The sequence below is a fragment of the Homo sapiens genome, chromosome 2 (assembly GCF_000001405.40).
Source record: "Homo sapiens chromosome 2, GRCh38.p14 Primary Assembly".
In the NCBI taxonomy this organism is placed as follows: domain Eukaryota; kingdom Metazoa; phylum Chordata; class Mammalia; order Primates; family Hominidae; genus Homo; species Homo sapiens.
This window is the reverse complement of record NC_000002.12, coordinates 221,642,420-221,655,577: the sequence shown is the minus strand read 5'-3', so window position 1 is coordinate 221,655,577 and position 13,158 is coordinate 221,642,420. Positions and strand designations below refer to the sequence as shown.

Sequence of the window (13,158 nt, the reverse complement as noted above, 5' to 3'; positions counted from 1 at the left end):
AGCTGGGGAGAACATGCCATATTGACAGTGCCCAGTGTGGGGCTTTTGAGGTCATCGCTACATGATACCAGCCTTTTATCCCACCCTGCTCAGAGAATGCTGAGAAAGCCAGGGAGGATAGAGATGGAGTGATGTAAAACATGATCACCGTAAATATCTCAGCATGCCTCTTGCTGACAGTGGGAAGTCCAGCTCTGGAAAAAACACTGTCAGCAGTAGCATCTATTTATGTAAAGGATTAAGCTAGAAAATGCTTATTCTTATTGATATTTTTAGCAGTTCTCCCAGAAATTTTGAAATTGTTTTCAATATGCTTTTTTGCTTACTTGGACTTTATACTTACATCTGATTCTAGTGAATGCAACCTTAAAATGTGGATTGACCACCAGGCATTCAGTACCTAAATTGAATAGGAATAGAGTAGTTAGAAATATTGAAAAAAGCCCTACCTCAGGTGTTTGGAAACCTGGATTTGAATCTCCGATGTATAATCTCTCATTTGATTGACCTTAAAAAAGTTGCTAATCTTATTTTTAATACCCAAACATCATTCTAGTGGTCCTAACTAGTTTTTAGGATTTCTATGAAGATAAAGTAAACTAATGTATGTGTAAGTAAACTAATATATGTGAAAGCATTTGGAGGCCCTATAGCTAAAAAGAAGAGGAGCAGGGTGGTGGGAAGAGGGAAAGAAAGGAAGAAAGAAAAGAAAGAAAGAAAGAAAGAAAGAAAGAAAGAAAGAAAGAAAGAAAGAAAGAAAGAAAGAAGAAAGAGAAAGAAGAAACAAAGAAAAAAGAAAGAAAGAAGGAAAGAAAGAAAAAAGAAAGAAAAGAAAGAAAAAAGAAAGAAAGAAGAGGAAAGAAAAGAAAGAAGAGGGAGGAAAGAGAGGTAGGGAGGGAGGGAGGAATGAAGGAAGGAAGGAAGGAACGAAGGAAGGAAGGAAGGAGAGACTATGATATTCAATATTCTATTTTAAAGGTTTCACCAATTCAAAACACTCTTCAGCGTTGTGAGAAATATCTCTGACAGAATTATTATATTCTGGTTAATGGCCATTCCAAATTATACACTGTGCTTATGTTTTCAGTGAGTGTTTTCCCCCTTATTCTATTGTCTTCACAATATTTGGTGGGGAGAAAAAAAGGGGATGAGCCACTTTCTTTTGATGTACTAAGAGCTTGATTAATAACAAAAGCATCAACACTATCCTAGATCTACAGGTTGGCAATGGACCTTCACTGATGGATGAAGGGGTTCTACCTAAACAAGAACACCTGGGGAGACTTATTATTAGGAAATGCTGATGTTTCGTGTGTTTCCTTGAAAGGGTAAACAATAGCTATGGAGCTAGGTTAGTAGCCTCATTGAATATGAGTGAAAGGGTCAGTTTTGATGGACACAGCCTTGTCAAGGTGGCCCCAAAACAATAGGACATCCTTCTTTGAGCTCCCGCTGTTTTTTTAGAGTAATCGTCTAGAAAGCATATTTAAATTTTGAATAAGCAAATCGTATAATTATTTCTCAATAGCTTGTATTAAATTGTGGGAGAGGGGCAACAGTGTGATAAAATTAGTTTCCAACACCCCAACAACTGAGGGGTTTTCTGTTTGTTTGCTTGATTGATTGTTGAGTGTTGTGGTTGTTTATAGTTTCTTATGATAAGAGAGAGCATTTTTTTTTCATTTCATTTTCTCATCAAAAGGATTTCCTACCATCAAGCCAACAAGACCCAGATGTAATTTCACTGATGAGCAAGACATCTCTGCCAACTGAATTCCTATTGATTAGCATCTGATTTTGTTTGTCAGCAAAAAGAAAAACGTATTATTTAATGTCACGTTTGGTACATAACCAGCGGGTTTAAGTGGTGGGAGGGAAGGGTGTGGATGCAGGGGTCTCTTTCAGAAACTGATGAAATTATATTAATGTGTATGATCATTTCTGCTCTCAACCAAATAAATAACATTCGTCATCTTAAAGCAACCAACGTCTTGCCCTGAAGATGAAAGGACTCATTGGCTTGCTGTCATTCTTCATAGTTAGAAGCTATCATGGCCTGGGATGGGGTATGTGATGTGCTGACTGTGGGTCCAATGTCACTCACTCTCCATCCGGCTTCCTGACTCCTCCTCCCTTGACAGCTTATTGGGGGATCAGACACAAGCCAGTTACTCTTCCCAGGTGGGAAGAATGACAGCTCCTAATGATTCATTCCAGCTGTTTGTGGAGATAAGGCAGCATGAATGCAGGCCCCACACCAGAATAGGATGAAGGGGATTTCTGGGATCACAAAGCAGACCTAGACTTTTATAAAAAGCCACACATACTGATAGACTACAGTTACAGAATACATTAGCATTTACCAAGAACTTTTTCACATGTTATTTAATCTGACCGCGACTAATCCAGTGAGGTCATTATTATTATTTCTATGTTAAACAAGGCTCAAAGATATTGAGTGACTTATCCAATATTATGTGACCATAAGGTATGGACCTAAGGGTTGAGCTAATGCCTGAGCCCCAGTGTTCTTTCCAATATAATAGACTTTCTATACTTTATTTCACACTGCTGATAAAGACATACCTAAAACTAGGTAATTTATAAAGAAAAAGAAGTTTAATGGACTCACAGTTTCACATGTCTGGGGAGGCTCATAATAATAGTGGAAGGTGAAAGGCAGGTCTTACATGGTGACAGACAAGAGAAAATTTGTGCAGGGAAACTCCCCCTTATAAAACCATCAGATTTCATGAGACTTATTCACTATCATGAGAACAGCATGAGAAAGACCCGCCCCCATGATTCAATTACCTCTCACCACACGTGGGAATTGTTGGAGCTATAGTTCAAGATGAGATTTGGGTGGGGACAGCCAAACCATATCAGCTTTATCAAGAAAATATATGTTTCATGCTTTTCAACTGAAACCCCTGTTTCCTGTTGGTAAGGATATTATTTTCTGATGCAGACCTTTTATTACTAATCACATACAATTTCAAAAATTTATGAAAGCAAATAACTTATTACTTAGGCGTCATAAGGAAAGAGCACGAGGAATCAGTGTTAATATTCAATCTAACCCATATACCTATCAGTGGAAAAACTTCATTTCTTTAGTAACTGCATATGCTTCTTTCACATTAACCTGTGTGTCCTGATATCATGAGAGGGAAGCAAAAGGGTGCACAACATAATTAAGTAAAAGAAAAAATTTCCAGGAATGACTTAAATGAAATGGATTTTCTTAAGTGATTGACCAAAGACCTATCAAGAGTTCCCACTCAATTCCTGATGCAGTCAAGAGTGTTTCTGGTCAATTATGGCCCTCAAGGAATTAAGAGGTCAGAATGCCCTCAGAGAGTAGCAAGAGATAGATAGAGAAATTTGGCATAAAACCGTGGACTATCTTGTCTGTGTAAGCCCGATTTTCTGAGAGGAGCCCACTGGCTCTCAAGTGGTGATAAGGATGTAGTCACCTGAAAATGGGCAAGCTGTCACCATCAAGTAAATGAAATGCTCTTTCATAAAGCAAACTCATGAAGCATGATTCAAGGTGGAAAATACTGTGGTGTTAGAATTTGTATATAACTCTGTGTGGGAGAATTCAGGAAACTTCAATCTTTGATTTATCTATATCTTATTCCTATCCAGATTACCTTTTCCAGTAATACTATTATTCACTGTCCATTAAGCTAGTCTCCTGTTAACAAATTCAGACTTCTCTAGGACATGCTCATTTCCTTTAGGTCTTGCTGGACTTTTACAATGGACAGTCAATGGTACTGTGATCTTTCCTTCCACATCCACTGTCTCATAGTCACTAACACTCTTCTCCTGCTGTTCACCCCATTAGTCAAATGTCCATTCTTTGACCCCCTTTTCCCATATTATTATATCTGCAACTAATGTCTTCTTCCCCTGCCTTGCCCTTGAAGCTGATGCCACGTTTGCTTTAACATAGCCTAAGCTTGGTGGTGAAGCACGTTGGGCAGTTTCTAAGCTGTGGCTGAGTAGAACTTTCAAAGTGTTTTCTTGACTCAAAGAGTCAGCTAAAGTTCTTAGTGATAATGTTGATAGTGGGAAATTCTTTCTAATTAGAAAAGCAAAAATATATACATATGTACCATATATATGTATAAATATATTTAAATATAAATATTTAAAATATTTCTGTAATAATATATACTATAATAAAAAGAGACAAACAGCTACATGATGTACATTAAAAGTATTAAAAAACAGTTTAAGATAAAGGTCTTTCTCTGAAAGATCTCTCGGTTTTACTGATTTGCACTTTAATATTATGTTGAACTTTTTTCACGTCAATTTTTTTTTACATTTCTGTGAAACTCTAATTGAGGATGTTATTACACATCTCAATTTTTGTCTCCTAGTAATGTAATGTAAAAAAAAAGTCTGCCTTTAATCTTAAAAAAAATAACAATTGTATTTGAAAAATACCACTTTATGTAACTTGTCACATTTTTACCTTTAATTTGGCTGTTAGGATGCATTGAGCCAAATATTGCACTTAATCATAACGCATATTTAAATTATGGTTAACATATTTGCTTCCTCCTTTTTACCCAACTGTATTTTCCTCTTTTTAAGGGAGTTTAAAATCATTTTTGAAGGAGGCAGAGAATAACTCAGTTAAATAAATAGATGAGTGTGTCTTTTAGAAAAAATATCAAGGCAGATTTTTTATAGTAATGGGATGACTATATGTTCAGAAAATGTAGATATAGTACAATTATAAAAATGGGAGAAAAAAGGCATATGCAAAAAAGTTTTTAATTAATATTAGTAATTATATTGTTATAATATGAGTATTATTCAGAGACTATGTTTGTAATATGGGATAAACTAGATGAACAATTATGAAATGTTCCAATTCTATCACTTTCAGTGTCCTAGAGAACTAGGATATTTGGTGTGGAAGGAAAGAGACACAAGTTTAACAGAGAAGAGGTTAAAGTAGAAACCTCTGTATCCCTGAGTTTGAACCAGAAGCATCAGAATAAATTTATGAAGCAATTTATCTTAAAAAAAAAATAATATAGATGTATGAATTCAGTACAGTTCTAGTGAAAAATCTAGCAGGTTTGTGTGTGTGTGTGTGTGTGTGTGTGTGTAAAAATCAGCAAGCTGATTCTAAAATATATATGGTAAGACAAAGGAACTGTAATAGCCAGCATAATTTTGAAAAAGAACAAAGTTGGAGGAATCACACTACCTAATTTCAAGAGTTCCTATGAAGCTACAGTAATCAAGCCCGTGTGGTAATGGCAAAAGAATAGACAATATAAATCAATGAAGCAGAATAGAAAGTCCAGAAATAGATACACACATATATGGGTTAATTGATTCTTTTCAAAGTTAAAAAAGCAATTTAGTGAAGAAAAGATAGTCTTTTCAGCAAATGGTGCTGGAACAATTGGTTATCCATATTCAAATCCAAATCTTGATCCATATCTTGCATCACATAAAAAAATTAACTCAAAGGGGATCATACACAATGTGAAACCTGAAACTATAAAAGTTCTAGAAGAAAGCACAAGAGAAAATCTTTGCCCTGCCTATCTTCACTTTTGCCTCCAGAAGCAAAGACAATTTCAGTCTATTAACATTGTGCCTCCTGGAATCTGTTGGACGTCTGATCCATAGGCAGTGGAAAATGATGTCTCTGGGGGGTACCTTTTGACAGCGGGAACCATGTGGTCCAAATGGTCGCAAGCACGCTCCAGCCTTTATAATTCAGCTGCAGGAGGTATATGTAGCCATTGCATCTTGACACAGTGGAGAAAATCATGTTATCTTCTCTCTTTCGCATTCTTGCAAAGGGCCCTACTGGGCTTAAATGGCCATTTGGAGCCAGCTTTCTTTTTATCCTATGAATTAGAGGAGAGAGCGCTTCTTGTCCAGTGATGGAAGAAATTCGTGGTGTTCCTCATTCTCCTTCCCACTGATGATTTGTTTTGCAGTCTCTCCCTTGGTAATGCTCTGTAGCAGCTGCTCTTTTCTCTTTGCTGTGTGTGTCTCATTTTTATCCTGGCAGACAGGGCAATTTCTTTGAAATAAGGCCCCCTTTCTCTGTTGCAAGCGACCTTGAGACATTCCACGCTATCATTCCCTAGCTGTATTAGTGACTCCAAATTCAATTTCAGGGTTCTTGAAAGCTTTCCCTTGTCCACCTTGTGATCAGTTGCCTTTAAGTGTCTTACAAGGCAATTGCTATGGGATCCTTGTATCCATTTTAGTATGTGCCTAACTTAGCCAAAGAGAATTGCAGCAAGCAAGGCTTCAATGCCTGGGGCCTGGCAGTGATCCAGCAACTCTGTTGTCTTTGGATGCTGTGAATGGCTAGTAATAGGAAAAGAGGGAAATGTCATGCTAGGACTGTGGGGTCCAGATCATGCAAATCATTTACCAATATATAGTAGAGACTCAATTACTCACAGTATATATGACCAAGAATGCTTTTTGAATAGAAAACTTGAATAATAAGCAATTATAGGCATATATTAAAATGCAGATGCATGCTTCTGATTGATGGGTGGGACAGCATACATGGTGATGCCATTGAAACATGCTATTTGTGGTTGTCATCAATTATTTTGGTGTTTGTCAAGGAACAGCCTTTTGAAACTCAGCTTCCTCATTTGTAAAATTTATGTCTAAGGTGTTTTTCAGGTCAGGCTCTTTAGGCTCTTCTACCCTGGTGAGTATCCAGAGATTTTTTTTTTGATTCAGTTGACCATGATTCCTTGTCTTTTTATCTCACAAATCCTATCCAAAAATAAGAAATAGGTTTCATCTCTAGTGCCCAGGATAATTGAGTGGTCATGGCTGCCTGGGTTTCCAAAGGTTCTAAGGCTGTGCTGAGGATCACCTGGGAACAAGCTGGAGCAGTAGCAGGGATGTTCCAGGTGTGCCATTCGGGGCCTGTGGATTTATTCCCATTACATTCTCACTCCCAGTATCTCATCTGTTTCCTCTCCTCCACATTTCTCCCCCTTGGTGGAATTCATCCTGTCTGAATAATATCAACTCTACCTACCGACGGAATTTCAAAGTTTACAACCTCCTGTCTGTTTGAAATGTTAACAGATTGTAATTACAGGGGAAACTGACAGGGATTAACAATAGAGTTAGGGGTTCGAAATTAAACAAAACCCCAAAAGATGAGTTATACCTAGTCTTTATTACAAAATAAATGGGTTAGTCCAGTATTGTGGCATTTCTCAGAATCCCTTCTTAGACATTCATGAAAGAGCAACTCTTTTTTCCCCCTCTTACACTCTCATTCCCCTGAAAAGAAACACCCACACTGACTACTACTATTTCCTGGACATGATAAAGCACATTAATAAATGCCACTTAGGAGGACTTTCAAGGATCTCAACATTCAAAGGAGATTCATTTATATCACAAGTGAAACTACAGCCCTAATAACTTTTCTGCAGTCTTAACCACCAATCTCCTGTCTTTAAACAGTGAAGACGGAAGATCAGCTTCCGTCATTACCCGAAAATGTTGTGCTCAATACTGAATAACATTTTAAATTCCAGGATTGTCCAATCAGCCAAAATATCAACCAAAATATCCTGGAAAGATTCACTATCATTGACTGGGAATAATTGTTACTATTTTTTATAGTAAGTGCACCATGCTTTCTCTGTCTATTAAGGCTGTTGGAGTTTGAAATTTCAGTTGTTTACCCATTATATTCAGTGCAATCCAGTCTTTTGAATTCAGAAAAGTGATGCTCTCTCTTTAGTGTTGCATGGATTTAGCTCTCTTTAGTGTGCTGCATGAATTTAGCTAGCCATTTTGAGGAGCTCAGGCCCATGTGTGTATATGTATGTTGAGCGTGTATGTGCTTTTGTGTGTGTGTGTGGGTATGTGTGTGTGCACGCTTCTGTACCTTTGGTGGAGTAAATGTCAGTATTCCCCAGAGGCACAGAATAAGCATTGGGAGAAGAGGGCGTGAAGATGAGGAAGTGAATGCTGGGGCATCCTAGACCAGTACATGCTCCATCCCTTTACCTGTCCAGACTTCATTCTCCCTCATTCTAGTGGCTCTGCTTTTAAGGGTGGGGAGGAGATCTATTTCCATTTTTCAAGATGCCTAAAGGTTGTGGATAGGTTTCTAAACTTTCCTTTAAATATGAGATTCTTAACACATAATGCTGACACAATTATGAAGTCTTTTAAACTTTGATATTTGTCATGAGAATATGTATTTTTCTTGTCTAAATTAGCAACCCCTTTAGTGGTGGCCTGTATTAGTCTGTTCTCACCCTGCTAATAAAGACATACCTGAGACTGGGTGATTTATAAAGAAAAAGAGGTTTAATGGACTCACAGTTTCACATGGCTGGGGAGGCCTCATAATCATGGTGGGGAAGGTGAAGAGGGAGCAAAGGCACATCTTTTTTTTTTTTTTTTTTTTTTTTTGAGACGGAGTCTCACTCTGTCCCCCAGGCTGGAGTGCAGTGGCGTGATCTCAGCTTACTGCAAGCTCCGCCTCCCAGGTTCACGCCATTCTCCTGCCTCAGCCTTCCCAGTAGCTGGGACTATAGGCGCCCGCCACCACGCCTGGCTAATTTTTTGTATTTTTAGTAGAGACGGGGTTTCACCGTGTTAGCCAGGATGCTCTTGATCTCCTGACCTCGTGATCTGCCCATCTCGGCCTCCCAAAGTGCTGGGATTACAGGCATGAGCCACCGCGCCTGGCTGCAAAGGCACATCTTCTATGGTGGCAAGCAAGAGAGCTTGTGTAGGGGAACTCCCCTTTATAAAACCATCAGATCTCATAAGACCTATTCACTACCTCAAGAACAGTATGAGGAAAACCGACCTCTTGATTCAATTATCTCCACCTGGCTCCACCCTTGACACATGGGGATTTTTACAATTTAAGGTGAGCCAAATCATATCACAGCCCCAGTGCCTGGAATGGAGCTTAGTGCAGAGTATGCTATCAACAAATGTTAAATAAATAAAGTTGTTCAATATTAGTAATAATATCATTTACCTTACCCTTTATTTTAATATCAGAAAACTCAGAGAATGAATCTCATTTCTTAACCTTAATGTAATAAAAGGAAAATGACATAAAAGATCATCTCACAGACAAAGTAGACCTGGGTCTAGAACTCAGGTATACTGACCCCTGTTAAGTTTCTGATTCTTCTCCCCTCTCTAATTCACCATCCTATTAAAAAGAAGAGCTGTATTCCCATTTGTCTTGGTGCTGTTTCTATGTTTTGAAAAGTAGGAAAGCTCAAAGTACATCCTTCATGAAAATGGCCTATGCCCTAGAAAATGTGAGATCTACTATTATAAAAATACATTATTTTCCTTTCTATTCTGCTAAAATAATTTTTTAAAAAGTCAATCCCAAATTTCACTATCATTTGTACCCCAGATATCTGACACCTTTGTGGAAAAGGTTCCATAGAAAACGTTTCCCTGTGAGGGCGTTACATTTAGGCCACCACAATCTGCCGTAAAATTTAGATAGTGAAAACAGAAGGCTACTTCTTTAAAAATGACTATTTGACATATATCCAAAGTATAATAATCGTATCCGTGAATGGCTCAATATATTTGGTATATAAAATTCAGAAGTACTGGATAAGGGCCTTAGTGAGTTATTTTTGTTTAAACTCTGCATTTTCCCTAGAGATTCTGACTTCTGTCAAGTTTAAGCTGTTTGGGCCTTAATATTTGTTGTGAAATAAATGACTTTGATCTCACAGATGCCATGGAGACACCGGGTGGAAAAGCCCCATTACTCAGAGAGAAAACAAATTTCATGGGCTGCAGGCATACATTCTGAACGTCAAGCCTGGATACAGTAGTCATTCTCCAAACAGAAATTGAAAGATCTGTAGAAAAATATCTGTTTCCCTAAGAGGCAGTTTGTCACGGAAGGAACAACAGATCTATCTCCATATGGTCAAACAGGATTTTTGTGATTCAAGGCCACTGCTGGGGAACCATTAGGGTTCACGTGTAGCACCAAGTATCTCCTTTGACGCATCTCTGTGAGTCCACTAGATGCAAGCTATTTAAGGCCAAAACTAGATCTTTTTTACATTTCCTGATATGATTTGGCTGTGTCCCCACCCAAATCTCATCTTGAATTGTAGCTCCCATAATTCCCATGTGTCATGGGAGGGACCCAGCAGTAGGTAATTGAATCATGGGGACGGGTCATTCCCATGCTGTTCTCATGATAGTGAATAAGTCTCACAAGATCTGACGATTTTATAAAGGGGAGTTCCCCTACACAAGTTCACTTGCCTGCCGCCATATAAGATATTCTTTTTCTCTTTCTTCATCTTCCATCATGATTGTGAGGCCTCCTCAGCCATGTGGAACTGTGAGTCCATTAAAGCTCTTTCCTTTATCAATTACCCAGTCTCTGGTATGTCTTTACTAGCAGCATGAGAATAAACTAATACATTTCCCCGCCAGCCTGGCACATAGTAAGCGCTCAATGGAAGTGTTCTGAATGAACCAGTTTACAGCAAAGAAGACTGGAGTCTAGGCCAGTGGTTTTCAACCTACGAAAATTTTACCCCCACCCACAGAGGGACATTTGGCAATGTCTGGAAACATTTTCAGTTGTCATGACTCGGGGGCGTGTGCTATTAATGTCTAGTGGGGAGAGGCTAAGGAGGCTACTACATGTGGTATAATGCTCAGGATGGCCCCCACAGCAAAGAACTATCTGGTCCAAATTGTCAATAGTGCTGAGCTTGATGAACCCTGCCATAAGCTATTAGAGGGAACACATGTCCCTCATTTCCTAGGTTTTCTTTCCACTGGAGATAGCCCCATCATCTTAACACCCAGGGCCTCTTTCTGTAGCTTCACACAGGAGAGAGGTGATTCCTCAGATTGGTGAGACCTGGATGAGAACCTGGGAACATGAAGACCAGCCTCATCCCTTTCTTTGTAGTCTTGAGCATCCCACAGGCTTCTGCTCTATTACTCCATACCACATGCCTTACAGTTCAGGCTCCAGGGAGACACAAAGAGACCTCATCTTTCCTGAGAGTGACCAGATAAGTCTATAATTTGGTAGCTCAGCATTAGGAAGGCCATTGTTTCTCCACAGCTAAGGCATACGATAAACCTCTTGCATGGTTCAGAATTCAGGTGGAGAAAATAAGTGCCATTAACGGACACCCAGGCCCCCTTATAGGCCATGCCTGACATTCATTGAGACCTGTGAATTTATTTCATTAGGAACACCCCGTGCTCTCACCCCAGAGAGTTCTGGATTTCTTCGGAGCAGATAGTCACTTCTAGGAGCAGGTCCTGCCTGGATGGATATGCAAGCATGTACTCATGATTTCAGGAAAATGCCTCTAAATTATTAGGACTTATGGGACCTAAAGATATCCTTGAAGTCACCATCCAGCCACCACTAATGTGACAGTGGATTCATAGACATGAGACACTTTGAAAATGAAGACTTCTGATTAAAGACTGACCTAGGTGTGATAATATGGACAGTGTGGCACCCAATCACAGGCTATGGAAAATGTGATGTTGTCAGGCTGAATAAATACAGAAAGTGGCAAAAAAAAAAAAAAATCCCTTTTTAGGTTGTGGCACCCAGACCTCCTTGCCGAACTGAGAATGGAAGATTATACATTTTCATTAGATGCTCTAGGTCTGAGAGAAGATCTTTTCATATTATCACTCTTCCATAATGATAAGTCTTGTAAAAAGCATCTTCCTAAAATGCTTTTACCAAAATTGACAGAGAAAAATGATGCTAGAGGCTTTTATTTCTCAAAGCTATGTTTAAACGCTTTCTCCAAGATATATTTGTTTTATTTTTAGTGTTTTCTCTATAACATCATCGATTATATCTGATTCCTCATTAACTTAGAAAATATGAGTAAGACTTGGGATTTTCATGTAGTGCTTAGATCCAGGGAAGAGAATACTGATAATTTTGTTTGTTTATGTTACGATGTCTTAGTAGACTTAGAATAGACTTCAGTTTTATCTTCTTTACTAGCTGGAGTAAAATTGATATTTGATGTTGAGCAAGAAAAAATTTATTTTTGAAAATGTCTTTCCTCATTTATTTGTTAATTAATTTTACAATTCTTTCATGATTTATGTTAGTTATTAAGATTAAGCTAATATCATCAACATCCCAGCATCATCATCAGTGTATGTATTAGTCCATTCTTACACTGCTATAAAGAAATACCTGAGAATAGGAAATTTATAAAGAAAATATGCTTAATTGGCTCATGATTCTGCAGGCTGTACAGGAATCACAATGCTGGCATCTGCTTAGCTTCTAAGGATGCCTCAGGAAACTTTTACTCATAGCAGAAGGCAAAGTGGGAGCAGGAGCCTTCACATGGCTAGAGCAGAAGGAAGAGAGAGTGGGGAGGCGCCACACACTTGTTAGCAATCAGATCTCACAATAACTCACTCACTCTCACAGTATTGTGAGAACATCATCAAAGGGGAAATCCACCCCCATGATCTAATCACCTCCCGCCAGGCCCCACATCCAACATTGGGATTACAATTTGACATGAGATTTGGGTAGGGACACAGACCCAAACCATATCACTGTCGTAACAGCTCTCATTTCTTGAGTACCTACTTTGTATCATTGTGATGAATACTTGGCACAGTATTTCCTTTAAGTCTTAAAATAACCTCATGTAATGGGTATTCTGGATTTTTCAGACAAGGAAACTCAGAGACATTCAGTAGTTTGCACAAGGCCACATGGCAATGTAGATCAAAGTCTAGACTGAATCTGAGGTTTCTCTACCCTCTTATCAGGGATCTAGATAGAGGATCATCTATATCCCTAATAGGCAAGGCACAAAGCCATTCAAGCAACATCAGTTGAATGCTTCTCCCGTGGTGTGCCTTGTGCTGGCTGCTGCCAGGAATAACAAAGTGGCAACTGCCAAGTCCCTGGCCTTAAGGCATACCCTGAATAAGGAGGTGGAAAATAGCAGATGAAAAGCTAACTAGAAGTGTTTCTCAAAGTTTTTATCAAAGTACCTCTTAGGACAGTAAAGATGATTCCGTAATTTGAAGGATCTACAAGTGTGGCCGCAAATGACTGCAATGTGCAGGGCCTATCTTTGA

The 13,158-nt window shown here is 38.7% G+C and overlaps 1 long non-coding RNA gene across 3 annotated transcripts in view; it reads right to left on the bottom strand.

Moving 5' to 3' along the window:
• The window catches only part of LOC105373899 (uncharacterized), a 101,158-nt gene that overhangs the window by 83,109 nt on the left and 4,891 nt on the right, over positions 1-13,158 (bottom strand). The gene's annotated exons all lie outside the window — the stretch shown is intronic.